This window comes from Homo sapiens, chromosome 2 (assembly GCF_000001405.40).
Source record: "Homo sapiens chromosome 2, GRCh38.p14 Primary Assembly".
Classification (NCBI taxonomy): Eukaryota; Metazoa; Chordata; class Mammalia; order Primates; family Hominidae; genus Homo; species Homo sapiens.
The window spans coordinates 124,452,567-124,480,088 of record NC_000002.12 but is presented as its reverse complement, the minus strand read 5'-3'; the positions used below and the strand labels follow the sequence as shown (position 1 = coordinate 124,480,088).

At 36.1% G+C, this 27,522-nt stretch overlaps 1 protein-coding gene across 3 annotated transcripts in view; it reads right to left on the bottom strand.

Annotated features, from left to right (window-relative positions):
• Positions 1-27,522, bottom strand: part of CNTNAP5 (contactin associated protein family member 5) — an 895,933-nt gene that overhangs the window by 441,131 nt on the left and 427,280 nt on the right. For 2 of the 3 annotated variants that reach the window (NM_001367498.1, XM_017003316.2), the window contains exon 7: positions 5,207-5,350. In NM_001367498.1, coding sequence (NP_001354427.1) covers positions 5,207-5,350 — 144 coding nt within the window. The remainder of the gene's footprint in view (positions 1-5,206; positions 5,351-27,522) is intronic. The other variant, NM_130773.4, reaches the window with a different exon arrangement.

The window sequence follows — 27,522 nt, the reverse complement described above, 5'->3', positions numbered from 1 at the left end:
GGAACTGTATGTGACTGCATTAATTAGCTATCTAAAATGGCAAATAAATATTGGCTTATATGTCAACTTCAGTTGAATGGATTTATAGATGTTTTTATTAATAGCTCCAATCTACTGGGTGCTTAGTGTGTACCATGCACTGCCCTAAGGGTATTGCAGATTTAATCTTCACACTAACACTTTGAAGTAGATACTATATTTGCCCTCATTTTATGTATGAGGGTACTGAAGTTTCGTAACTTTCTCAAGATCCCATAGCTGAATAAGCCATGGAGTGGGGATGAACAACCTAGGAAGTCAATGTTTCAATTATGATTTTATTGAGGATGCTTCCAGGAACACTGAAGTGAGACCTTTGGGTTTCCCTCTAGGACAAAAGAAAAGGCATTTTGTGATTATTTAGCAATTTCAACCATGGGGTTGGGAGTATTATTATATTGGCTTAGTATTGGCCATCGCCCATCCAATTCCCTGATTCCAATTCCCATTTGGAAACAAAGGTACAGAAATGAATTGACATAGTCAATTAGCTCCAAAGCCAACTCTGTAAGTAGAGTCTTCCTATTAGTTATTTGCATTTTCTTCCCTTCTATTGAAGACAAAGTAAAGTAACACATGCATTTCCACTATGATCTTTTAAATAAAAAGGAAAATATTTTGAGACCTACAATAATGGGAGTGAAACTTCAGCCAGCTCCCAGGGAATCATGTTATGCTCCTTGCCTCTGGGAGAAGAGATAGAAGACTCAGAAAGGACAGCTCAAAAAAAGCATCATTTCTGATGGAGTGCAAGGTATGAAATTAATCATTTTCAGGAAACTATCAGAGCAATATATTTCTTATACTACATATATAATAATCCATATTACAGGTACTGTACACACACTTCAATGGGCCATTTGCTTTCTGATTGTTTATTATATAGTGCTGTATTAGCATATAATAAAGGATTTGAGGAAGAATAGTGAGGTATTTTTTATGTCTACTTTAAGCTGTTAGTTTTACTGCATTTCGGGATGTGGAGAATTGTCTTGTAGTCAAATCGAGCTATAAAGACTAAATTGAATTATCCCTATGGAACAGCTGTTAAGTCTCCAGGGAGTGGGAAGGTCCCACAAGAAAGAGATGACAGATTGCAATGAGGATGCCTGCTGAATGCAGCCTGCTAAAGAGGCATACGTTAGGTTAGGCAAAGGCTGGAGCTTCCGTGGGCCTTGAAACACATTTTATAATTTATGAGTAGTACCGTACTCTTGCTGCCTGATTTGTTGATCCCTTGAATCTGAACTTCCCAAGGCCTAATAACTGTAAGAGAGTCTGCGAACACTAGAAAAGGACAAAAATATCATTCCTTCCAAAAGCCCTTACTTAGTACCACAGTGACTTAGTGATGGAGCAAAGCTGATTTTGTAGCAGATATGGTGTCTTTGGGGGAAACTTTAAGCTTGACTACAGAAAGGAAAGAGTTTGTACTTCGGTATTTAACAGTGCAAACCATTGCTTCTCGTAAGAAATTCCTAAAGGAGATAGACTAGGTATATAAATATGTGTGTGGGTGTGTGTGTACATGTGCAAGTGTATAGTGATACGAATTCTCACTTAAGCAGGGTGTTGGAAGCAATTTGGAAGAAAAATAATGTACATTTTTTCTTCTAAATTGTGAAGGTTAAAACTAAGGTTGCCTACCTGCACAATAAAACAATTTTCTTGGGATTTTTTTCCAAATACGTTAGTGCTAAATGGATTCTTTATGCCTCATATTAACAATACTGCCAATTAAACCCCAAGGAGTAACATATGCTAGCAAAGTTGTAGGCAACTTGATAAGTGCTATAGTAGTTTAAAAGTCACCACAACACTTAGCAAAGTTTTAGATAATGATTCTCTCAGAAAACGAAACGGTGAAAGCTACTGATATTCAGAAACTGAAGTTTTTTTTTTCTCTTGTTCCTTTTTATCTTCCTTTTTTTTGCTCTGCTTATTCAGTAACTCCAATCTATCTTATCGTTAAAGATATTTTTTAACACATAATATGTATAAAGATATTCTTTTTTAATATTACTATAGGGATCTTAGTTATTTATATCTAAAGCTCAGGCTTTTATACTTTTAAGCCCCAGTTTATGAACAATGAGTGTGCAATGTTTTTATAAGCTTACTGTTGTTTCACTTTGCTCTGCCACATCTTAGCAAAATGGTAGGTAGTGATGCCCTTTAATATTTCTGACATTAGGCTAATCTAAACTTCTGGTAGTGCATGATTTCAATGTAGTGCCCCTGCTCCAATCACAATCTGTGTCAGCAGATTGGACTCAAGGAAACTGATATATTATGAAATATTTCTTGAAACATTATTGGGAAAGGGATAGGAATGAGTGTGCTTTCCATAGCCCAAGACTCCAAACCTAGAATCAAAAAAAAAAAAAAAAAAATGTCATGAGCAAGCCAGTGTTTATGTTAATTAGGAGATGGTTGACCTAAGCTCATGTGGATAAGTTGCAGAATTGTCAGGAGCCTTGGGCATTAGCCAGAGATGGACAAGTAATGTCATGGCTTTTCTAGAGCCAGTGAGGTAATTAATCCCTCCCTAGCATCATCCTAACTTTTCCAAACCGAAGGAGTCAGGGACTTGACACAAACCTTTTAAAATGCTGACAATCTTTAATCCAAGTGTGATTCCCCATGAGCATCCTCTGCCTCATACCCTTGAATCCAATGGCAATTTTCAAGAAAATGTGTTAATATGATACCTCAAAACACAAAAAAATTCTTATAGATTATATTTATCAAAGAATAAAACAAACACAAAGTCATTTAAGCCATAGTTTGTTCAAATAATTCTACAATAAGATTGCAAAGAGAATCATATTTTTGCTGTCAATGACAGGGTGACCTACTCTTGCCATGGATTAAAGAAAAAATGTCAGTTGAAGAGATTTCCAATTCCAGGAATATGAAGTAACATAGTTTTCCCTATTTATTCTGCTAAGTACAACTAAAAGACTATAGGAATTATGTATAAAACTTACCTAAAATATCTCTGAATGGTGGGGAAAAGAAATAAAGGATATATAAAAATCTCGGGACCAAAAGAAAAACACAGTGGAGAATTCTCTGGATTTTCTCTTAACCTGATCTGTTTTAAGTATGCTGCTGAAAGACAACCCAGAGAGACCAACTGGTGCAGATAAAATTTTGTTTAAAATTGCCATTAAAAGACTGCTGTCTATAGCCAAAGGATGAGGAAAGGATAGCATAGAAAGAGAGATGCTGTTAGACAACGACTTCTCTCCCTAAGCCAAATGCCATAGAAAAGACTATGGCCCCATTTCCACTGAGCCATGCTGTAGTGAGGTGCCCAAGTTTCTGGCCAGGGTGGTATATGGGAAGATCAATCTGGGACTCTCTGGCTTACAAGGCCAATTCTGAAGATCTGTGAATTTAATCATTGTCAGATAGAACCAAGTCTCTCCCTATGGTATCAACTGCGATCACAAGGAAAGCCTAGACTTCTGCCGCTACTGAGCTATCATGAGGAACCCCCTTCATCCCCTGCAGGAGCAGTCTCAGAGATGGTTTAGTGGTGAGTCAGGACTTTCATCACATTCCAGTGATATGAAGGGCATCCCTCTCCCACCCACCCACAAACACTGTGATGTCACTGCAGATCACATGGGCAGCAGTCATGAGTCTTTAATACTAATCCAAGCCAAACATATCCCTTGTGGTTTCAAGAGTTTTTCTTTACATTTTGTCAATATTGGGCAAAAATATGAGTAAATGCAACAAACTATCCTTCTCCTTTTGAATTCTTTAAATGATGTTTGACATTGTAGCAAAATAATACCACTTGAAATGGTTCTAAATATATAGAAATGGTTCTAAAAATATAATTGCCTAATTAAGACAATTGTAAAATAAATAAGGGAAGATAAAGGGATGTCAATGGAAATTAGGTTTCTACATATCAGCTAAATTGGTAAAATGATTAAACCAGTAAACCACAATAAGTTATGCATATATAATATAATGTCTACAGAAACCACTAACAAAAGCTATACACAGATATACTCTAACACTAGATAAGAAAAATAGAATTTTAAAAACTATCCAGGAAACACAGGACGTTAGAGAAAATAGAGAATTTTTAAAAACCCAGGAAACAAAATAAACAGGCACTTAAGCCCAGAACATTCATTACATTAAATGTAAATTTGCTAAATAGACCAATTAAAAGACAGAAATTGAAAGCATGAATTAAAAAACATGACCCAACTATTTGTTGTTTACAAGAAACTTACTTCAAAAATGATTACATAGGCAGGTTAAGAGCAAAAGGATGGGAAAAGTTACATGACAAAGACCTTTATAGAGGAAAAGCAAGAGTGGCTATATTAACATCAGACACACTTCAGAGCAAAGAGAGTTATCAGAGACAAATAATAATATTATATAATGATAAAAGAGTGAATCCACCAGAATACATAGCATACTAAATGTGTATGTACCAAACAACAGAGCTACAAAATATATAAACCAAAAATGGATAGAACTGGAGAGAGAAACAGACAAATCCAAAATTATTGTTGGAAACATCAACACGTTTATTGAGCACCTACAACGTTTAAGGCACTCTGTTAGGCATTGTGAATGCAGTAGTAAAAAGAAAACACAGTCCTGACCCTCATGAAACTCATTATTAGGGAAGACAAATGTTACTTAATTAGAAAATCATTTAATTTGTCAATATGATAAATGAGAATCTCAAACACACTAAAAGTTTAATCTCCCTCATTTAAAAGGAACTATTTTTAATATTAACAATAAGTAGACATATATGTAACTCCCAAGCCATAGAATTTAATGGAATATGTGGTTTTCTTGTTTCATATTCCAGAGATAATAAAAAATTCATGTTGTCCCAATATAGACTGCAAATACTACCCACAGTTGAAATATGACCCACAGTCAAAAAAAAAAAATGAATTCTCTGGATGGCCCTAATGTCTTTGTTTCTTCCACTAGTGCAATTAACACAGATTCAATATCTGCCATTCTCTTTCTCTCCAGTGTCACGTCAGACGCTGATGGGAACTCAGAGCATAAGATAAACACATTACGAATGGGTTCAGGAATGGGCTGGTGAAAGCAAGACTTACCCCAAAGTGGTAGAAACCATCAAGACAAAACAGATGGGCTGACTTACCACAGTATAGATCTGATGCTTTCGTCTCTTAGCCAGGTCAATTATGTTTACTCCATTGTAGTAAAGGTTTTCGATGCATCCATGGAAGTTTTTCTTTAAAAAGGTCCCAGGTTTTCCTGGTACTGGAATTCCTCCAAAACTAAGCTTTTGGGGTGAAAATAGAAACAAACTCTTAGTTTTAAGCTCAGAAAGATTAGGAAAGGAAAGTAAACACGTGCGTTTTTGGTAGATTCAATTGTATGCTTGAGCCAAATGGCTCAAATAATTATAGATGCTACTTGATTACACATTTAAAAGGATACTGATTAGCCTATGTAAAAATAACTGTAATTGCTTGCTTCTTAAGGGACTATTTTACACAACCATTTTCACTTCCTTTCTGAACCTTTTTAATACTAAATAAAACAATAATTTACAGAAGGAGGGAAAAAGAAAAAGAAAATCAATGTCTTTATAATTATCTCTTATCCAAGCATCTTAAAAGATATGGCCATACTAAAGCCAAGAGACAAACAAAACATACCTCTATTCAGCTACAGAAGAACCTAGTTTAAAAGCCTATATTGTATGCAAAAAGCCTTATGCATAAGATTGTCCACAATTGTCATCTATAATGATGAAAAACAGGAAATATTCCAAATGTTCTATATAGTTTTGTAAAGCAAGTAATTAAGAATCAATGTGATGAAATTTCACTTGTCAATAATGGTGCTTATTAAACATTTGTAATATAATGGGAAGTAAATATAATGTTGATTTTAAAATGCAAGAGTTACAATTGGGTATAAAGTATGATGTCAACAATAAGAAGTTGAGCATAAAGCATAGTCTGGGAGGAAATACACTGAATTGTTATTATTAGGTTGAGGCAAAAGCAACTGCGGTTTTTGTCACTAAAAGTAATGGCAAAAACCGCAATTACATTTGCACCAACCTAATTTAATAGTGGTTCACTTTGGAAAGGTTATGAGATACTAGCGGTTTTCTTCTTTTACAACTTTTATTTCTAATTAGTATTAACACAAATTGCCTTTTTAATAGATATATTATTTTAAAAGCAAGGCGGCCTGTTATGAGTATTTTTTCTACTATGAAAAAGAATCAAGATAATTTATATTATCAGGTTTATCCCAATACCATTTAATGAGAAATGCAGTTTTTTCCACTGCTTTGAAATATCACTGTCAGCATGTACTTCAACTATATCTATATTTGGATACTTCTCCATCTTTCTCTAGTTCACTGTCTCTTTTTAGCTGTCTCTGTCTTAATGTTTCAGGAGGATGTGGTCTCCCAATCAGAATGTCTTCTTATATGAATAACTACTGATACACTTAAGGCTATTTTTAGATTTTTTTACAAGCTTCACACTAGTAAAAAAGTGTTTCTTAATGCAGTGTAATAGGTGAAGAGTATTATTAATCCTGTTGCCCACTTTTACTTACAACTACTTTAATTTTTAAAGAGAATTTTTTGATATTTTATCTATTTCATTTTAAAGTTTAATTACAGAATAATTTTATTTAACTAGTTTGTTAGAATTTTTATTGATAATTTATTATTTACATTAAAACATTTAGTTAGAGAAGAATGGATATTTTTTAAATATTTGATTTTTCTTTCCAAGAACCCACCGTTGTTTTCTATTTTCAGAATATTTCTAATAAAGTCCTCCAACTAAGGTTATTATTTTCTTTCTCTAGTTTTCATACCCATCATTAAATTAATTTCTATGAATTTCATGATTTCAAAAATTCCATTGTATATGAATTGTTTTAATTCATTAAACATTTTATCATGTAAATGCTGTGCTCATCTTATTGCTGCTGGTATATTTTCTTTAACCAGATACTTGTATATACTTTTATATTAAATCATATACTCTTTAGTTATTTCCTTTTAATTTGTGAGGGAGATACAGGCAATACCTTGTTTTATTGTACTTCGCTTTGTTGTACTTCACAGATTTTGTGGTTTTCATGAATGGAAGATTTGCGTCAGCCCTGTGGCAAGTAGGTCTCTCAGCACTATTTTTCCAACAGTGGGTGCTCACTTTGTGTCTCTGTGTTAGCTTTATTTTTTTTGCAATAAAATATCTTTAAATTGAGGCATATATATTTCAAATATAATGTGATTATTGCACACTTAATAGACTATAATATAGTATAAACATATCTTTTATATGTACTACAAAACCAAAAACTTTGTGCGACTTGATTATTTCAATATTCACTTTATTGCATTCGTCTGGAACGGAATCCACAATACCTGCAAGGTATGATGGTAATCATATGATATATATGTATTTATATATATATATAAAACACCTTATTCAATATAATTAATATGAAATCAATTTCTTATACATTTATTTCCTATTTTACTGTCTCCATCAAAACTTCCTAACTCCTAGCCAAAATTTTTGAAGCAATATTGAACAATAATAATGGTATACAAACTTGTAACATCAACAACAATACCATCACGAAACAAAACAAAAATTTTATTTCTCAGCTATACATAACACTAGTTCTGACTCCACATGAAGAGAATATCCTTCTGCTCTTTTACACACAAATTATTTATTTATTTTAAATAAGAATGAATGCTTAGTTTTATTCACGATTATTTCAAAAATCCATGTGACAGACAAGAGAGTATTTTGTTTGATCTACTGATGAGCTGAATTATATTACTACATTGTGAGTTAACAAATTCTCTCTTATTGAACCACTCTTGTGTTCCATTTGTGCTCATATTTTAAGTAATAAATTAGTTTGAGCTCTAGTTTTCTTTTGTCAAGCATTTAGATCAAGTCTAAATTTGTCTCTGAGTTTTATATTTTATCATATGAATGGCTCCTAAATCTCATAAAACATTCTGGAAAATTTTAAATTACCAATGAACTTGTAAATTCCACAAATATTTTGTAAAAGTATTACAAAATCTCCTTTGTTGATTTATTGCTGTTTTCAAACATTTTAAATTTGAGTCATTTACATTAAGAAAAGGTCCAAATACATAAATGTGGATAAACAGAACTAAAGACAAAAACCATATGATTATCTCAGTAGATGCAGGAAAGGCCTTTGGTAAAATTCAACATCCCTTCATGTTAAAAACTGTCAAAAAACTAGATATGGAAGGAACATACCTCAAAATAATAAGACCCACATATGAAAAGCCCACAGCCAATAGCATACTGAATGGGCAAAAACCAGAAGCATTCCCCTTGAAAACTGGCACAAGACACAGATGCCCTCTCTCACCACTCCTATTCAACATAGTATTGGAAGTTCTGGCCAGGCAATTAGGCAAGAGAAAAAGATAAAAGGTAATCAGGTAGGAAGAAAGGAAGTCAAATTATCTTTGTTTGCAGATGACATAATCCGATATCTAGAAAACTCCATTGTCTCAGCCCAAAAGCTTATTAGCTGATAAGCAACTTCAGCAAAGTCTCATAATACAAAATTATGTACACAAATCACTAGCATTCCTATACACCAACAACAGGCAAGCCAAGAGCCAAATCATAATGAACTACCTTTCACAATTGCTACAAAAAGAATAAAATACATAGAAATATAGCTAACAAGGAAAGTGAAGGACCTCTTCAAGGAGAACTACAAACCCCTGCTCAAATAGATCGAAGAGAGCACAAATGGAAAAACATTCCATGTTCATGGATACGGAGAATCAATATTGTGAAAATGGCCATACTGCCCAAAGCAATGTATAGATTCAATGTTATTCCTGTTAAACTACCACTGACATTCTTAATGAAATTAGAAGAAACTCTTTTAAAATTTATATGAAACGAAAAAAGAGTTTGAATAGCCAAGACAATCCTAAGCAAAAAGAACAAAGCTGGAGGCATCATGCTACCCTTCTTCAAACTATACTACAAGGCTACACTAACCAAAACAGCATGGTACTGGCATAAGAACAGACACACAGACCAATGGAACCATAGAATAGAGAGTCCAGAAGTAAGACCACACACCTACAATCATCTGATCTTCGACAAAACTGACAAAAATAAGCAATGGGAAAAAGATTCCCTATTTAATAAATGGTGCTGGGATAACAGGCTAGCCATATGCAGAAAATTGAAATTGGACCCCCTCCTTATACCACATACAAAAATCAACTCAAGATGGATTAAAGACTTAAATGTAAAACCCAAAACTCTAAAAACTCCAGAAGAAAACCTAGGCAATAGCATTCAGGACATAGGCACAGGCAAAGATTTCATAACGAAGATGCCAAAAGCAATTACAACTAAAGCAAAAATTGGCAAATGGGACCTAATTAAACTAAAGAGCATCTGCACAGCAAAAGAAACTATTTTCAGAGCAAGCAGACAGCCTACAAAATGGGAGAATAATTTTGCAACCTATTCATCTGACAAAGGCCTAATATGCAGCATCTACAAGAAACTTAAATAAATTTACTAGAAAAAAACAACCCCATAAAAAGTGGGGCAAAAGACATGAACAGGCAGTTCTCAAAAGAAGACATACATGCAGCTAACAAGCATATGAAAAAAAGTTCAATATCACTGATCATTAGAGAAATCCAAAGGAAAACCACAATGAGATACCATCTCACACCAGTCAGAATGGCTATCATTAAAAAGTCAACAACAGATACTGACATGGTTGTGGACAAAAAGAAACACTTTTACGCTATTGATGGGAGAGCAAATTATTGCAACCATTGTGGAAGACAGTGTGGTGATTCCTCAAAGACCTAGAGGCAGATGGGTCTTTGAATCAGCAATTTAATTACTGGGTATATACCCAAAGGAATATAAATCATTCTATTATAAAGATACATGCACATATATGTTCATTGCAGCACTATTCACAATAGCAAACACATGGAATCTACATAAATGTCCATCAATGATAGACCGGATAAAGAAAATGTGGTACATATACGCCATGGAATACCATGCAGCCATAAAAAGAAATGAGATCATGTCCTTTGCAGGAACATGGATGCAGCAGGAGGCCATTATCCTCATCAAACTAATGCAGGAACAGAAAACCAAACACTGTATGTTCTCACTTATAATTGGGAGCTGAATGATGAGAACACATGGGCACAGGGAGGTGAACCACTCACAGTGGGGCCTGTGGAAGGTTGGGAGGAGGGAGAGCATCAGGAAGAATAGCTAATGGATGCTGGGCTTAATACCTAGGAAATTGGATGCTCTGTGCAGCTAATCACTATGACACATGTTTACCTATGTGACAAACCTGCACATCCTGCACATTTACCCCTGAACTTAACATAAAATTTAAAAATGTAAAAAAAAAGAAAAGATCTATTTTGGATTTGCAAATTTTTCACATACATCAAATTTATAATGTAAAAATATATGTTATTTGGATATATGTTACTTTTACTTATTTTTATTATTTTAAATATTTAATGACATTTGTATTTTGTGTTGGCTACTTTCCTCAATTTCAAAAAAATTAATGCTCTACTTCGCTCAGTTATGGTTTAAGAAAATATTGTTTGCAGGAAAATGTTAGTAAAAAAACAGAATGAAAAAAAGCTGCTGTCTTTTAAATAGCAAAACACAGTGCTATTGAAAATATTCAGGGTGGAGAGTTTTTTCCAGTCAGGTAGTATAGAGGGTACCATATACTAAAAAATTGTAGTTTCCTATTACACTGAGGGGAGCAATCTCTCCTCTACTCTGGGTGGAAGATTTTCAGAGGCAGTTGGTTGAGACAAGAGCACAGTTAGGTGGTAGCTTGAGGCCTGCTCTCTGGTTCTCCCTGAGGGATTGAAACTGGATGTGAGTTGGGTGGATATGGATAGAGGTCACAAGACAGATCTTGGAAAACACAGAAAGGTACTGCCTCCAGAAGTACCCATAGCAGTGATGGCTGCAAGCCTGTTAGAGCTGTCTCAAGTTCAGCATGATCCCAGAGCAAATCAGCTGGGGAGGAGAAGACAGGTTAGCAAAGGCTGAGGAAGAGGCAACGCAGAAAGGCTAGAGGGGTTCCACAGTGACCTGGTCACTCTAGCACAGTGTGAGGCAGGCAACTGAGGGTCCCCAGGACCAGAAGAGCAGGTTGAGGGTACAAATGGGCTGAAGTTATCAGTAAATGTGTTAAGGGCTGGTAGCTGGATTTGGAGGTCTGGGAGAGTCCAAGTGACTACATCTCACTCCCTTAGGCCAAGTGCGATGGTTAGTATTAAGTGCCAACTTGATAGAAGGATGCAAAGTATTGCTTCTGGGTGTATCTGGGTGTTTCTGGCTGTTGCCAGAAGAGATTAACATTTGAGTCAGTGGACTAGGAGAGGACTCACCCTCAGGAAGGTCCACCCACAGTGTGGGTGGGCCCCATCTAGTCAACTGCCGGAACTGCTAGAAAAACCAGACAGAAGAAGATGGAAGAAGCTGACTTGCTTCTTTCTGCTGTGTTGGATTCTTCATGCTCTTGAATATCAGACTCTGAGGACTTTGGCTTTGGACCCTTGAACTTACACCAGTGGTTTGCCAGGGACTCTTGGGCCTTCTGCCACAGGCTGAAGACTGCACTGTTGGCTTCCCTATTTTGAGGTTTTGAGACTTGGACTGAGCCACTACCTTCCTTGATCTTCAACTTTCAGACAACCTACCATGGGGCTTCACCTTGTGATTGTGTGAGTCAATTCTCCTTAATAAACCCCTTTAATATATACATGTATCCTATTAGTTCTGTCCCTCTAGAGAACCCTGGTTAGTACACTAAGGCAGGTCCTACAGACAACAGCAATGAAAGCTGTGATGCAAGTCTTTTGCCTCCAAACAGGTGGGACTCGTGAATGGCATGACTCCCTTGACGCAGCACGATACACAAACCACCCCATTAGTGATCTGCCAAGGGAAGAGGAAAAAAGTACAGAGAGAACGTCACAACATAACCCAATATATACCCAATAATGTACTACTTTTTAAATAATCATTAAGTAATTATTATTCATCATCAAGGTTAGATTTTTCTACCATTAGAAGCAACAGAGGCTGATGAGCATATTGAATCCAGTTAGGGAAAAGAAGCAAAACCGTTTTTATGTGCATTTGAATATGAGTGTGAATTTGCACCCTGATTTAGATTTTTAGATGTTTTACGTAGTTGAGAATTGGAAGTTATAATTTGACTATTGAACTATAGATTTAGTCCATTATCAGATTAAATTAGACTGGAGAAATTTGCTTCATATAATGATGTTTTTCTTTTCTGAATATTTTATAAACACTTATAGGCTACACACCTCTTAATTCTATATTAATAAATATATCCCTCAGATCATTTGTTTTCATATTTTTGTCTGATTTACCAAAACTTTGAAAATAAAAATTAAAATCTTCCTCTAAGCTGTTTCTCTCCATCAAGCCCTCCATATAAGAATTACCACTATGGAAGATTTGGGCTGGCCGAGTTATTGTACCTACTCTTTGCAAAAATTGAATACTGATCATCCTCAAGCTAGTCTCCTGCTTAGTTCTGCTGGCTTCTGATTGGCTCCCTCCAACATTCCCAACCTTGGCTTTTCCTCTTGAACTCTGTCCATTAGTTCATTCATCTGGCAGCATAGCTGGTTAAACCAACAACCATCTTCCTCAACCAGGCTCTAGGGCCTCTGCATGTTGGAACTGCAACACAGGTACTCACATAAGGGCACTATTGACCAATATCTGCATAGGAACAATTAGAAGTCTTTTACTTTTGCATTTATTGATATTTTATGTGCTATACACATGGGGTTAGTATGTGTTTTTAATTAGAGACTATAATGATTATTTTACAACGGCCTGTTTTGATCTTAATATTTACTTTCAAAGGTACTAGTTTTTCCACTTCTGCTTTCTTTCTGTCTACATTTAATTGGTGTACCTTTGTCCGCATTTCAAACCTGTTTTTAATCATTTTTAATTTTCCTTCACAGATTTCATTTCCGAGGATGCTGAAGATCTGATTATGCCTTTCTATTCATACTCTAGAATATTTCATTATTTGGCAGATGTGGATGATACTGAATGGAGATTGTATTTCTGAGTACATAGTCTGTATGAAATGGCCCAGGGCCTTCAGTATATGGAAGACTGAGCTGGAAATCCTGCTTCCATTAGGTAATGTGCTCATCCATTCGTTGGCAACTTACAGTTGTCACAGACTTTCCGAACAAAATCTGTCTCATCTGACCAGTAATTTTCAGTGAATACTGATCAAAAACTCTTTTATTCTTATTATTCTGTTACCAACTCTTAGAAACACTTGATAAAGTTAATTCCAATTGTTTGGTACAAATTCGATTCACTTAATAGTTGCTGAACCCTTACTTTTTGTGAAGCATGATTCAAAGCCCTGTGGTGGAATTAAGGATAAATCACATGCTGCCTCTATCTAAAAGTGTAGGGCCAGTCACTAAAGACAAATTCATGCTCCAACAGACTGATGGAAGACAAAGTATGATAGAAACAATGCAAGCATACTAGTGACCAAAATCTACAGGAAACCATCAAATTTTAAGTCATAAGTAAAGAAAGCAAGATCAGTTGGTGCCATAGGATAGGATATTTGAAGGCTAGGCTGAAAAGAATAGAGTTATTGTATTCTCTGAAGGATTTTCAGAGAATAGTTACACTATTCTGCTGAAGGATTTTTGGAGAAAAATAATAACCACCTTTAAAGAAAATTATTTTCTTGAAGTAAAAATGGAAAAATAAATAAATAAATAAACAAAGAGGGCAAATATTAGATCAAAGAGGCTTATTTTGGCCTCAGGTGAGAGGTGGTGGAAGCATGAAAAATGGAGTCTAGTTGTGGTAGGTAAAAGAGATCAATACGCTGAGCAAGCACTCTCAGACAGCATCCTGGAAAACTGACTTTTTTTTGTCTCTTCTCAAATGGCACCATCTCAATGATGCCTACCCTGACTGACATATCTAAAATTGCAATCTCGTTCCCTCCATCCAAGAACTCCTAGATCCATTACCTTGATCTATTTTTGTTCTTCTCATAGCATTTATTATCTTCTTACTTACTATATAATTCACTTACTTGTGTTTATTCTTTATAGTTTGCCTCTCCTGCTAGAATGCAAGCACTATGAGGGGAGGAATCTTTTGTCTTTTGCATTGAGATATTTCACCTACTTAAAGGGGTACGTGAAACACAGTAGATGCTGAAAGAAACATTTGTTGAATGTTTGTGGAATACCTCCTTAAAATTTTCTCAGAGGCACAGATAATATCTGATTCATTTTTGAATATGTAATTCCAAGAGGTATGATTAAACCATTAATAGATTCAACAGATATTTGTTAAATTGGATTTTAAAAAGAGCACTGACAATTTGCTTCTAAATCTGCTTTTGCCTCATTGTCTTTTTTGGCAATTCGGTCTCTTTCTTTTCTTACTTTTCTTGCTTGCTTGGTCTTGGCATATTGAATGAGTGCCTTTCATTGATCTTAGTGGTCATTGAATGGTGTGCCTTTCATTGATCTTAGTGGTCAAAAATGCCAGGTATTAGATTGCAAAGTTTCACTCACAGTCTCAATGTCTTGGACAACATAGTCCATCTGGTAACTTGCTGGATTTACTGTTGTCACAGGTGAGCTCCAACAGGATAAATCCCCGGAGAAAGCCTGCATTGATGTTAAATGCATGAGGTCCCAGAATCTACCACTCTCTTTTTCTTTGATCTTATTTTATTTATTTATTTTTTTTGGTTTGGTATTTGCTTGTCTCTTTTTCAATCTTTGATGTTACTTCCACAGCAAGGAATTCATTCCTCCCTTGTTGGCTTTTTCTCTGGTCCTGTTTAAATTTGGAGTCTTCCTGTTCTAAAGATCCCACTTTGTATCTGACTTGAATATCTGATACTTTTGAAGTTTCTCATTTGTAAATGTTTGTCTCACTTTTGTTCTGACAGTCCACTTCTTAAAGAAACAGGTATAAAAAAAGGATCCAAACTGCTGTCTTCTTTTTCATCTTTTAAGACTTACACTGGCTGGGTGTTTGCTGAGGTACATGCAAAGCTCATGGCCCTTCAAAAGGAGAAACACACCATCATCAGCCTTTGGGATACTAGTCAAGGGTGGATGAATTTCTGCCATTACAAATGAGGACAAAAATTCCAATTTTCTGGTTAAATCTCCTGATTTTTAAAAATTAGCCTGAAAGTTGAGTATTTAAAAAAGAAAGTAAAACAGCATATAGGCAAAATTGGACGATGGCTTTCCAAATCTTGCCCAGGGTCATCGTTTTGTAACTTATGTTTTACTGTTTGACAGGATGAATGACTCAGTCTGTCCCATGTTTGGAACTTCTGATGTCTGTCACTTTAATATGCTCGTAGTACATATCATGCCTTATTTTTGCTTCGACTTTGGAGCCAAATAATGAGTCGAGGCAATTGTTTACATTTTTACCAACAATTACCTCTTCCTTATTGGTTTTACAATCTATTATTTCACAAGTTTCCAGTGTCCTTCTTTTTTCTGCAAAAAATTTATCCTATTTCTTTTTTGCCAGTGATAGAGAGTGGGTGATTTCTTACCCAGACACAGCCCAGCATTGAGTAAGAGAAAGCACTGTTCTTGATAGTGCTCCTCATTTAGAAAGTGCCTGCGCTCCCTTGCTTCATCCATGTCCTGACATCCTGCCCCAGTGCTCCAGGCTCACATCCCTCCTACTACATTCTGCCTATGGCTTCTGACCCAACCCCAATAATTGCCCTTAAATTTCACCTGGATTTTGTCTCTCTTGTTCAACCCTGGGCACTCTCTCAAAGTATTGTTTTAGTAATAGCAATAGTAGGACTTATTGATCATGTTTATATATCGGGCACCATGCTTAGAGCTGACCTTCACTGTTTTTTCTCTAACCTTTGAGTTGGGTACTCTGATTTGCTCCATTTAACAGCTGAAAAAAAATGACAGCATACAGAGGTTTAGCAGCTTGACTGAGACCTTGGAGCCACAAGGTAAAGAGCTGGAATTCCACATCCTTCAATCTAGAGCCCCAACTCTAAGTGCCACACACACAGTGTCCCCCTAGCTTCTTCTACACCTGGTTCCACTGAGCAGCCTTCTCAATGAAAAGTCCCAGGCTAAGGTGACCAACTTGTCCTCATTTGCCTGAAACATTGCCATTTTTAAAACTAAATGTTCCACATCCTTACGGCTCTCTCCATTCTGGGAAACCTGGCAAAATTTGCCCCCTTGTCTCAGGCAAAGTGAGCACACTGGCCCATGTTATTTGGTGAGTCTTTTGCAGCCCTGGAGGAGATGAAAAGCAGAAGTGGGGCACAGTGATAGCAGCAGACGCCACGCATGTTTTCTTAACAGCATAAATCAGCTCCTCGTATTTTCTGCTGACAGGGCAGCCCTATATTCTCAAACTACCATCAGGTTTTGCAACGGGGTATATTCAGACCATTTTTCTTATTGTTTTGGTTGTCCTTATTGCTCCTGGCTTAAACCTGATCAATGCCAGGCCTACAGTTCCTTTCTCTAAATAGGTATTTTTTCACAGACTGACAGACGTCAGCTGCTGACACAGCCCAACAGGCCTAACATATATTTTATAATTTTTTGTCTGAATGAATTTACTATATTTTTACATTAGATTCTTTGGCCAATGAGGTAAATTATGTACATTTTAGTATTCAAGCAAAGAGTTCAATAGAAATCCTCCATTCACATCCCCCTTATACCCAGGCCAGTGGGCCTTCCTGCCCTGAACTGGGTTCCTAAAGGGTCTCACTGTGGTCTTCCTCGGTCATATCCTGTGTCACAAGGGCAGGGCCTTATGAGCCCAGGGGAGATGACATAGGAGGTTGCCACCGCCTTCCAGAACATGATCTCTGCACACAACACCCAGTTTCCTGCCTCAACAGCTCTGATAGTCCTTCAAGGGTCTTCACCGTTCTCGTCCCTCATCTGCCTTCCTGAGGGGTGGCCAACAGGCAGCTGTTTGCAGTGTGGGCAGAACTTTGACCTGTGGGGTATGGGCGTGAATGGATGTCTATCTGTCAAGGGAGGGGAGTAGAGCATATTTGATTCATTCGTTTCTTAGCTTGGTTTGTAACTCTTTACAAATTTAGATTCATGATATGTGGTTCTCTATCTGTACTCTTGCCTCAGGCTTACAAACACCCTAGAGGGGCTTGGCTAGCTTTACATGAGTTTATTAAGGATTACAGTAATTTAGCCCAAATTTGGCCAGTCTCCAAATGTCTTATTGGCCACTTCCACTAGAAGTAGCACACTAATTAAAACCTACTAGCATCCCCCTAATAGCAGCTAATAGAAAACAAGATATGTTACCATTTGCTCCTTTAGTTCATGTTAATGAAAACAATGCATTTTTGTATAATACTTGTATTAAAATATTCCCTTCATCATATGTAAAACAATTAATTTGCTTTTAACAAATTTAAGAGAAGTCTTTGTATCTTATTTCACTCACATAAAACTTGAAGAAATATAAAGTTAGCAAGTCCACAAATCACAATAATCTTAAATTTAAAACTAGAAGGAAAATGGCACCAAGTAATGTGATTTCATGTCTTATACACAGGCAGAGCCCAGGCCAAGCCCCAGAGTCTGTGCTTGTATCTCCAGACATTGATTTTCTCTCCTCAGAGGGAAAACCTACTCCCCAGATAAACCTCTGGTCAAATGGTCACACAGACCTGGGCTCAAATCCTGTTCGTTTTTCTTGGTGGCTATTGAGGAATAGGGATTGGAGACTTCTTCAACTTCTCTGTGTCCTCCTTTTATATTTGTGATATAGGAGATAATAGCCTTTCTCACAGGGCTGTTTTGGGTGGTTAAACAAAATTTTAAAATGCCATACATAATAATAACTCTTTATTTTATTTTTATTTTATTTTTTTTCTTAGTGAACTTTATTTCCTGACCTGAGACAAATATTTTAATCTTCAGTTTTTAAAACTTGAAGGATATAATGATAAAAAACGACTTTTTTTTTCTTTTTTTTTTTTGAGGTGGAATCTCACCCTGTCACCCAGGCTGGAGTGCAATGGTGCAATCTTGGCTCACTGCAACCTCCACCTCCTGGGTGGTTTCCAGCGATTCTCCTGCCTCAGCCTCCCGAGTAGTTGGGATTACAGGCATGCATCACCACACCTGGCTAATTTTTGTATTTTTTATTGTTTATTTTTATTATTATACTTTAAGTTTTAGGGTACATGTGCACAATGTGCAGGTTAGTTATATATGTATACATGTGCCATGCTGGTGTGCTGCACCCACTAACTCGTCATCTAGCATTAGGTATATCTCCTAATGCTATCCCTCCCCCCTCCCCCCACCCCACAACAGTCCCCTGAGTGTGATGTTCCCCTTCCTGTGTTCGTGTGTTCTCATTGTTCAATTCCCACCTATGAGTGAGAATATGCAGTGTTTGGTTTTTTGTTCTTGCGATAGTTTACTGAGAATGATGATTTCCAATTTCATCCATGTCCTTACAAAGGACATGAACTCATCATTTTTTATGGCTACATAGTATTCCATGGTGTATATGTGCCACATTTTCTTAATCCAGTCTATCATTGTTGGACATTTGGCTTGGTTCCAAGTCTTTGCTATTGTGAATAGTGCCGCAATAAACATACGTCTGCATGTGTCTTTATAGCAGCATGATTTATAGTCTTTTGGGTATATACCCAGTAATGGGATGGCTGGGTCAAATGGTATTTCTAGTTCTAGATCCCTGAGGAATCGCCACACTGACTTCCACAATGGTTGAACTAGTTTACAGTCCCACCAACAGTGTAAAAGTGTTCCTATTTCTCCACATCCTCTCCAGCACCTGTTGTTTCTTGACTTTTTAATGATTGCCATTTTAACTGGTGTGAGATTTTTGTTATTTTCCCTTTGCATCTACTTGCTTCCTTTTTCTTTATTTTTTTCAGTTTATTTTCCTCGATGGAGGCCTTCACTTTTAACCCTGCAACTGAATTTCCAAAGGAAACAAAGGATCTATAACTATTCTATCATATGATCACCAAATAAATAGTTTTATTATGTCTGGCCAGTTTTCAAATCAGGTCTGTTATTAGAGAGATGTCCATTAGGCAACGCCAAGTAAAAGTAAGGAAGGCAGCAAGGGGTGGCCTCTGAGCATGGAGAACCTATTAGGAACTTCTTAAGGGAAGAAAGGTAGAATGCAGATTAATATCATTTATAATTCACAGAAATAAAATTCATCCAATTACTCAGCAACTTTTTACAGAGTATATTTTATATGTCAGGCAAAATGCTATAGATATAAATGAAAGTAAAGAAGAAAATCTCAACCTTTATGATGAGCTTAAATTCTATGGCTGGACTAGAGATGATGAGATAGACAATTTAAAAAATAAGTATATTTAATTATGTATTATAAAGTAATACGTGTTTTTAAAGAAAACTAGGAATAAAAATAAATCAGTGCATGCAACTTTAAAACAAATATAAGAACTGTCTTTTAAATAATGTATTCTTTCTACTGCCTCAGTTTCTTCTTAAAGTACTTTTCTGGATGGAGTAAAATATTCAGAAAGTTTAAAGAGGGTATGCAGTAAAAAGTAAGGCTTTCTTCCTTTTTGTCCTACTCTCTGAGATTCTAACTTACCTCTTGCTTTAGTATCCTTTCAGAAATTTCTATGCCTATATGTGCTTTAATGTTTATATGTTCTCTTCTGTTTTTTAAACACAAAAAAACTGTTTACACTGCATTGCACCTTGATTTTATTTTTCCTCTAACAATTTATATTGGAGATGATTTCTGTATCAGAACATATAGGATTGCCTCATTCCTTTTAATGAGTGCATTACACTTTCATAGAGGTTTGTCAGGCACCAATACATAAGGTGAGCCTAAGACCAAAGCCTGACCAATAGACTGGGAAAGATAAAAGAGTCATTTCGATTCAGACAGTTTTGTATTTGCACAAACAGCTAAGCAAAGAATAGCCATTCACTGTAGCTGTAGATACCAAGAAGGATGACATCTAAACAAAATGGGTTAGATGACCACAACATGGGCTGTATTATTCCCATTGCTAAGAACACAATTCCTTTTTTTTTTTTTTTTTTTTTTACAGAGGAATTTCACTCTTGTTGCCCAGGCTAGAGTGTAGTGGTGTGATCTCGAGTCACTACAACCTCCAACTCCCAGGTTCAAGAGATTTTCCTGCCTCAGCCCTCAGCTTCCCGAGTAGCTGAAATTACAGGCGTGTGCACCATGCCCAGTTAATTTTTGTGTTTTTAGTAGAGATGGGGTTTCATCATGCTGTTGGCCAGGCTGGTCTCGAACTCCTGACCTCAGGTGATCCACCTGCCTCAGCCTCCCAAAGTGCTGGGATTAGGAGCATGAGCCAACACACCTGGCCAAGAACGCAATTCTTGATTGAGCTAAACAATTTTGTATTATGCAGCTCTATTCTGAGAGGAGAGGGCAGAGAACTCTACCCTTTATCACAATCTGAGAGGTGATGAGAAACATGGTGGCCTCCCACAGGGGTAGGGAGGCAAATGATGTAAGTTTTCAGAGCACCTGTTCACTGGCCTTCACCTTCTCACATTTCGAGGTGTCCTGCCAAGACTCAGATCAGCTGCGGTGCAAGCCTGTGGCTGAGTGTACTCTGGGTACCTGCAAGGAGCACCGTGAGCAAAGCTGTTCCCATGCAGGGCTGACCGCAATTTTTAATCAAATCCCTTTTTGATAAGTTAGTGGGTAATTTCAAATCTTGTATTATACCTAGCATATATTCCATTGCACACATTTGCTAATAATTGTAGGACAAATTACTGGAAACAGAATTATTGGGTTGAAGAGCATTTGTTTCCAGTTTTGAATAACATCACTGTTTCTTTTATATATTATTAATTATAGTGCCATCAACAGTGTATAAAATATTTCTGTTTTCTTCCATGTCAACATGGTATATTATAAGTGTTGGTCTTTACAATATAAGTTGAAAATATTTTAGCATGGATTAGCATTTCTTTTTTTATTAGTGAGGTTGAGCATCTTCTCATACATATGAAAGTCATTTGTATTTTTATGTGTTCATTTTCTTTACATATTTTTTCATTGTTACCTGTTTTTTTAAAAAATTGTAGACACTTTTAACTTATTAATAAAAGTATGATTGTTTAGCATTATTTATTTATTTAGTTATTTTATTTCCATAGGTTATTGGGGAACAGGTGGTGTTTGGTTACATGAGAAAGTTCTTTGGTGGTGATTTGTGAGATTTTGGTGCACTCATAACCTAAGCAGTATACAAGGCACCCAATTTGTGGTCTTTTATCTCTCACTCCCTTCCCACGCTTTCCCCTTGAACCCCTAAAGTCCACGGTGTCTTTCCCATGCCTTTGCATCCTCATAGCTTAGCAACCACATACGAGTAGGAACAGACGATGTTTGGTTTTCCATTCCTGAGTTACTTCACTTAGAATAATAGTTTCCAGTCTGATCCAGGTCACTGTGAATGACATTAATTCATTCCTTTTTACGGTTGAGTAGTATTCCATTTTATATATATATATATATATATATAAAATATTACATTATATATATTATATTGTATATGTAATATATATTTTATATTATATATAATATATATTTATTATATATATTATATATATATATATTAGTTTCTTTATCCACTAATTGATTGATGGGCATTTGAGTTGGTTCCATGTTTTTGCAATTGCAAATTGTGCTGCTATAAACATGTGTGTGCAAGTATCTTTTTCATATAATGACTTCTTTTCCTCTGGGTAGATACCTAGTAGTGGGATTGCTGGATCCAATGGTAGTTCTACTTTTAGTTCTTTAAGGAGTCTTCACACTGTTTTCCATAGTGGTTGTACTAGTTTACATTGCCACTAACAGTACAGAAGTGTTCCCTGCTCACCATATCCATGCCAACATCTACTATTTTTTGATTTTTTGATTATGGCCATTCTTGCAGGAGTAAGATGGTATCACATTGTGGTTTTGATTTGCATTTTCCTGATCATTAGTGATATTGAGCATTTTTTCATATGTTTGTTGGCCATTTGTATATCTTCTTTTGAGAATTGTCACAAACCTGCACATTGTGCACATGTACCCTAGAACTTAAAGTATAATAAATATATATGTATATTTAAAAAATAAAAGGAAGATCAGCTAATGGGTGCTGGGCTTAATATCTTCGTGATGGGTTTATCTGTGCAACAAACCACCATGGCACACGTTTACCTATGTAACAAATCTGCACATCCTATACATGTACCCTGGAACTTAACATAAAAGTTGATTAATAAAAAGACATTTTCCTAATAAAAAAAAGAGAATTGTCTATTCATGTCCTTAGCACACTTTTTGATGTTTTCTTTTTTTTCTTGCTAATTTGAGTTCATTGTAGTTTCTGGATATTAGTCCTTTGTCAGATGTCACAAAGATTGTGAAGATTGTGAAGATTTTCTCCCACTCTGTGGGTTGTCTGTTTATTCTGCTGACTGTTCCTTTTGCTGTGCAAAAGCTCTTCAGTTTAATTAAGTCCTAGCTATTTATCTTTGTTTTAATTACATTTTCTTTTGGGTTCTTGGTCATGAAGTCTTTGCCTAAGCCAATGTCTAGAAGGATTTTTCCAATGTTATCTTCTAGAATTTGTATAGTCATTGGATGTGACAAAGATTGTATAGATTGTGAACATTTTCTCCCACTTTGTGGGTTGTCTGTTTACTCTGTTGACTGTTCCTTTTGCTGTGCAAAAGCTGTTTAGTTTAATTAAGTTCCAGCTATTTATCTTTGTTTAAATTACATTTACTTTTTGGTTCTTAGTCATGAAATCTTTGCCCAAGCCAATGTCTAGAAGGGTTTCCCTAATGCCATCTTCTAGAACTTTCGTAGTTTCAGGTCTTAGATTTAAGTCTTTAATTCACATTGAGTTGACTTTTCTATGTGGTGTGAGATGAGGATCTAGTTTCATTCTCCTACAGGCAGCTTGCCAAATATCCAGCACCATTTGTTAAATAGGGTGACCTTTCTCCACTTTTGTTTTTGTTTGCTTTGTCAAAGATCAGTTGGCTATAAGTATTAGGGTTTATTTCTGGGTTTTCTATTCTGTTCCATTGGTGGATGTGCCTGTTTTTCTTCCAGTACCATGCTGTTTTGGTTACTATGGCCTTATAGTATAGTTTGAAATCAGGTAATGTGATGCCTCCAGATTTGTTTTTTGCTTAGTCTTGTTTTGACTATGTGGGCTCCTTTTTAGTTCCATATGAATTTTACAATTGCTTTTTCTAATGCTGTGAAGAATGATGGTGGTATTTTGATGAGGAGTGTATTGAATTTGTATGTCACTTTGGCAATTATGGTCATTTTCACAATATTGATTCTACCCATTCATGAGCATGGGACGTGTTTCCATTTATTTGTGTCATCTATGATTTCTTTCAGCAGTGTTTTGTAGTTTTTCTTGTAGAGGTCTTTCACCTTCTTGATTAGGTATCTTCCTAAGTATTTTATTTATTTATTTATTTATTTATTGCAGTTATTGTAAAAGGGGCTGAGTTCTTGATTTCATTCTCAGCGTTGTCGCTGTTGGTGTACAGAAGAGCTACATTGATTTTTTTATCCAGAAACTTTGCTGAATTCTTTTATCAGTTCTAGGAGCTTCTGAATGAGTCTTTAGGGTTGTCTAGGTAACCAATCATATAATCAGCAAACAGCTACAAGTTTGACTTTCTTTTTACTGTTTTGGATGCACTTTATTTCTTTCTCTTGTCTTATTGCTCTGGCTAGGACTTCCAGTGCTATGTTGAAGAGGAGTGGTGAGAGCGGGCATCCTTGTCTTGTTCCAGTTCTCAGAGGGAATGCTTTCAACTTTTCCCCACTCAGTATTACGTTGCATGTGGGCTTGTCACAGATGGCTTTTATTACATGGAAGTATGTCCCTTGCATGCCAATGTTGCCGAGAGTTTTAATCATAAAGGGATCCTGCATTTTGCCAAATGCCTTTTCTGCATCTTTTGAGAGGATCATGTGGTTTTGGTTTTTATTCTGTTTATGTAGTGTATAATATTTATTGACTTGAGTATGTTAAACCATCCCTGCATCCCTGGTATGAATCCCACTTGATCATGGTGGATTATTGTTTTGATATGTTGTTGGATTTGGTTAGCTAGCGTTTAGCTAAGGATTTTTGCATCTATGTTCATCAGGGATATTGGTATGTAGTTTTCTTTTTGGTTATGTCCTTTCCTGGTTTTGGTATTAGGGTGATATTGGCTTCATAGAATGACTTAGGGAGGGTTCTCTCTTTCTCTATCATGTCTCTTTCTCTATCTTGTGGATTAGTGTCAATAGGATTGGTACCAATTCTTCTTTGAATGTCTGGTAGAATTCTGCTGTGAAACTGTCTGGTCCTGGACTTTTTTTATTGGTAATTTTTTGATTACTATTTCAATATCGCTGCTTGTTATTGGTCTGTTCAGCATATCTAATTCTTCCTGATGTAAGCTAGGAAGGTTGTATCTTTCCAGGAATTTATCCATCTCCACTAGGTTTTTTAGCTTATGTACATGAAGGTGTTTATAATAGTCTTTAATGATCTTTTGTATCTCTGTGGTGTCAGTTGTAATGTCTCTCATTTCGTTTCTAATAGAGCTTATTTGGATTTTTTCTCTTCTTTTTTTTGGTTAATCTTGCTAATGGTCTATAAATTTTATTTATCTTTTCAAAGAACCAGATTTTTGTTTCATTTATCTTTTGTATTTTTCGTATGTGTGTTTCAATTTCATTTATTTCTGCTCTGATCTTTGTTATTTCCTTTCTTCTGCTGGATTTGAATTGAGTTTGTTCTTGTTTCTCTAGTTTCTTGAGGTGTGACCTTAGATTGTCTGCTTGTGCTCTTTGAGACTTTTTGATGTAGTTGTTTAGGGCTATGAACTTTCCTCTTAGCCCTGCTTTCGCTGTATCCCAGAGGTTTTGATAGGTTGTGAATGACTACTGTCATTCAGTTCAAAAAATTTTTTAATTTTCATCTTGATTTCATTTTTGGCCAAATGATCATTCAGGAGTGGGTTATTTAATTTCCATGTATTTGCATGGTTTTGAATGTTCCTTTTGGAGTTGATTTTCAGATTTATTCCCCCATGTTCTGAGCAAGTGCTTGACATAATTTCAGTTTTCTTGAATTTATTGAGGTTCATTTTGTGGCCTACCATATCCTCTATCTTGGAGAACATTCTACGCACTGTTGAATAGAATACCTGTGGTTGTTGGGTGGAATGTTATGTAAATATCTGTTAAGTTCATTTGTTCCAGGGTGTAGTTTAAATCTATCATTTCTTTGTTGACTTTCTGTCTTGATGACCTGTCTAGTGCTGTCAGTGGAGTATTAAAGTCCCCCACTATTATTTAGCTGCTGTCTGTATGTTAGGTCTAGTAGTAATTGTTTTACAAATTTGGGAGCTCCAGAGTTAGGTGCATATATATTTATGACTGTGATAATTTCCTGTTGGACAAGGCCTTTTATCATTGTATAATGACTCTCTTTATCTCTTTTAACTGCTGTTGCTTTAAAGTCTGTTTTGTCTAATATAAGAATAGCTACACCTGCTCACTTTTGCTGTCCATTTTCATGGAATGTCTTTTTCCATCCCTTTACCTTAAGTTTATGTGAGTTCTTATGTATTAGGTGTGTCTCTTGAAGGCAGCAGATAGTTGGTTGGTGAACTCTTATCCATTCTGCAATTCTGTATCTTTTAAGTGGAGCATTTAGGCCATTTATATTCAATGTTAGTTTTGAGATGTGAGGTAAAATTTCATTCATCGTGCTATTTGTTGCCTGTATACTCTGTTTTTTGTTTTTGTTTTTTCAATTGTATTTTTTGTTTTGTAGGTCCTGTGAGATTTATGCTTTAAAGAGGCTCTTTTTTTTTATGTGTTTCCAGGATTTGTTTCAAGATTTAGAGCTCCTTTTAACAGTTCTTGTAATGCTGGCTTGGTAGTGGCAAATTCTCTCAGCATTTGTTTGTCTGAAAAAGACTGTATCTTTCCTTCATTTATGAAGCTTAGTTTTGCTGGGTAAAAATTCTTGGCTGATAATTGTTTTGTTTGTGGAAGTTGAAGATAAGGCCCCAATCCCTTCTAGCTTGTAGGATTTGTGCTGAGAAATCTGCTGTTAATCTGATAGGTTTTCCTTTGTAGGTTACCTGGTGTTTTTGCCTCATGGCTCTTAAGATTCTTTCCTTCATCTTAACTTTAGATAATGTGCTGACAATGTGTCTAGGCAATGATCTTTTGGTGATGAATTTCCCAGGTGTTCTTTGGGCTTCTTGTATTTGGATATCTAGTTCTCTAGCAAAGACAGGGAAGTTTTCCTTGATTATTCCCCCAAATATATTTTCCAAACATTTAGATTTCTCTTCTTCCTCAGGAATGCCAATTATTCTTAGGTTTGATTGTTTAACATAATCCCAGACATCCTGGATGCTTTGTTCATATTTTCTTATTCTATTTTCTTTGCCTTTGTTGGATTGGGTTTATTCAAAAACCTTGTCTCTGAGCTCCGAAGTTCTTTCTTCTACTGGTTTGATTCTATTGCTGAGAATTTTGAGAGCATTTTGCATTTCTTTAAGTGCATCTGTTGATTCCTAAAGTTTTGATTGTTTTTTATTTGTGCTATTTATTTCACTGAATATTTCTCCCTTCACTTCTTGCATGATTTTTTTTTTATTTCCTTATGTTGGGCTTTGACTTTCTCTGGTATCTCACTGATTAGCTGAATAACTAACCTTCTGAATTATTTTTCAGGTAAATCAGGGATTTCTTCTTGATTTGGATCCATTGCTGGAAAGCTAGTGTAATTTTTTTGGGGGGTGTTAAAGAACATTGTTTTGTCATATAATCAGAGTTGGTTTTCTGGTTCCTTCTCATTTGGGTAGGCTATGTGAAAGAGAAGGTCTGGGACACAAGGCTGTTGTACAGTTCCTTATGTCCCACTGGGTGTTTCCTTGATGTAGTACTCTCCCCCTTTTCCTAGGGATGTGGCTTCCTGAGAGCCAAGCTGTAGTGATTGTTGTCTCTCTTCTGGATCTGGCCACCCAGCAAGTCTACCAGGCTCTGTGCTGGTACTGCGGGTTGACTACACAGAACTGTGGGTCTCTCAGCCACGGATATGGGCACCTGCTCCAGTGGAGGTTGCAGGGGCCTGAAGTGGACTCTGTGAGGATCTGCAGCTTTGTTTGATTAATGCACTACTTTTGTTCTGGTTGGCCTTCTCCCAGGA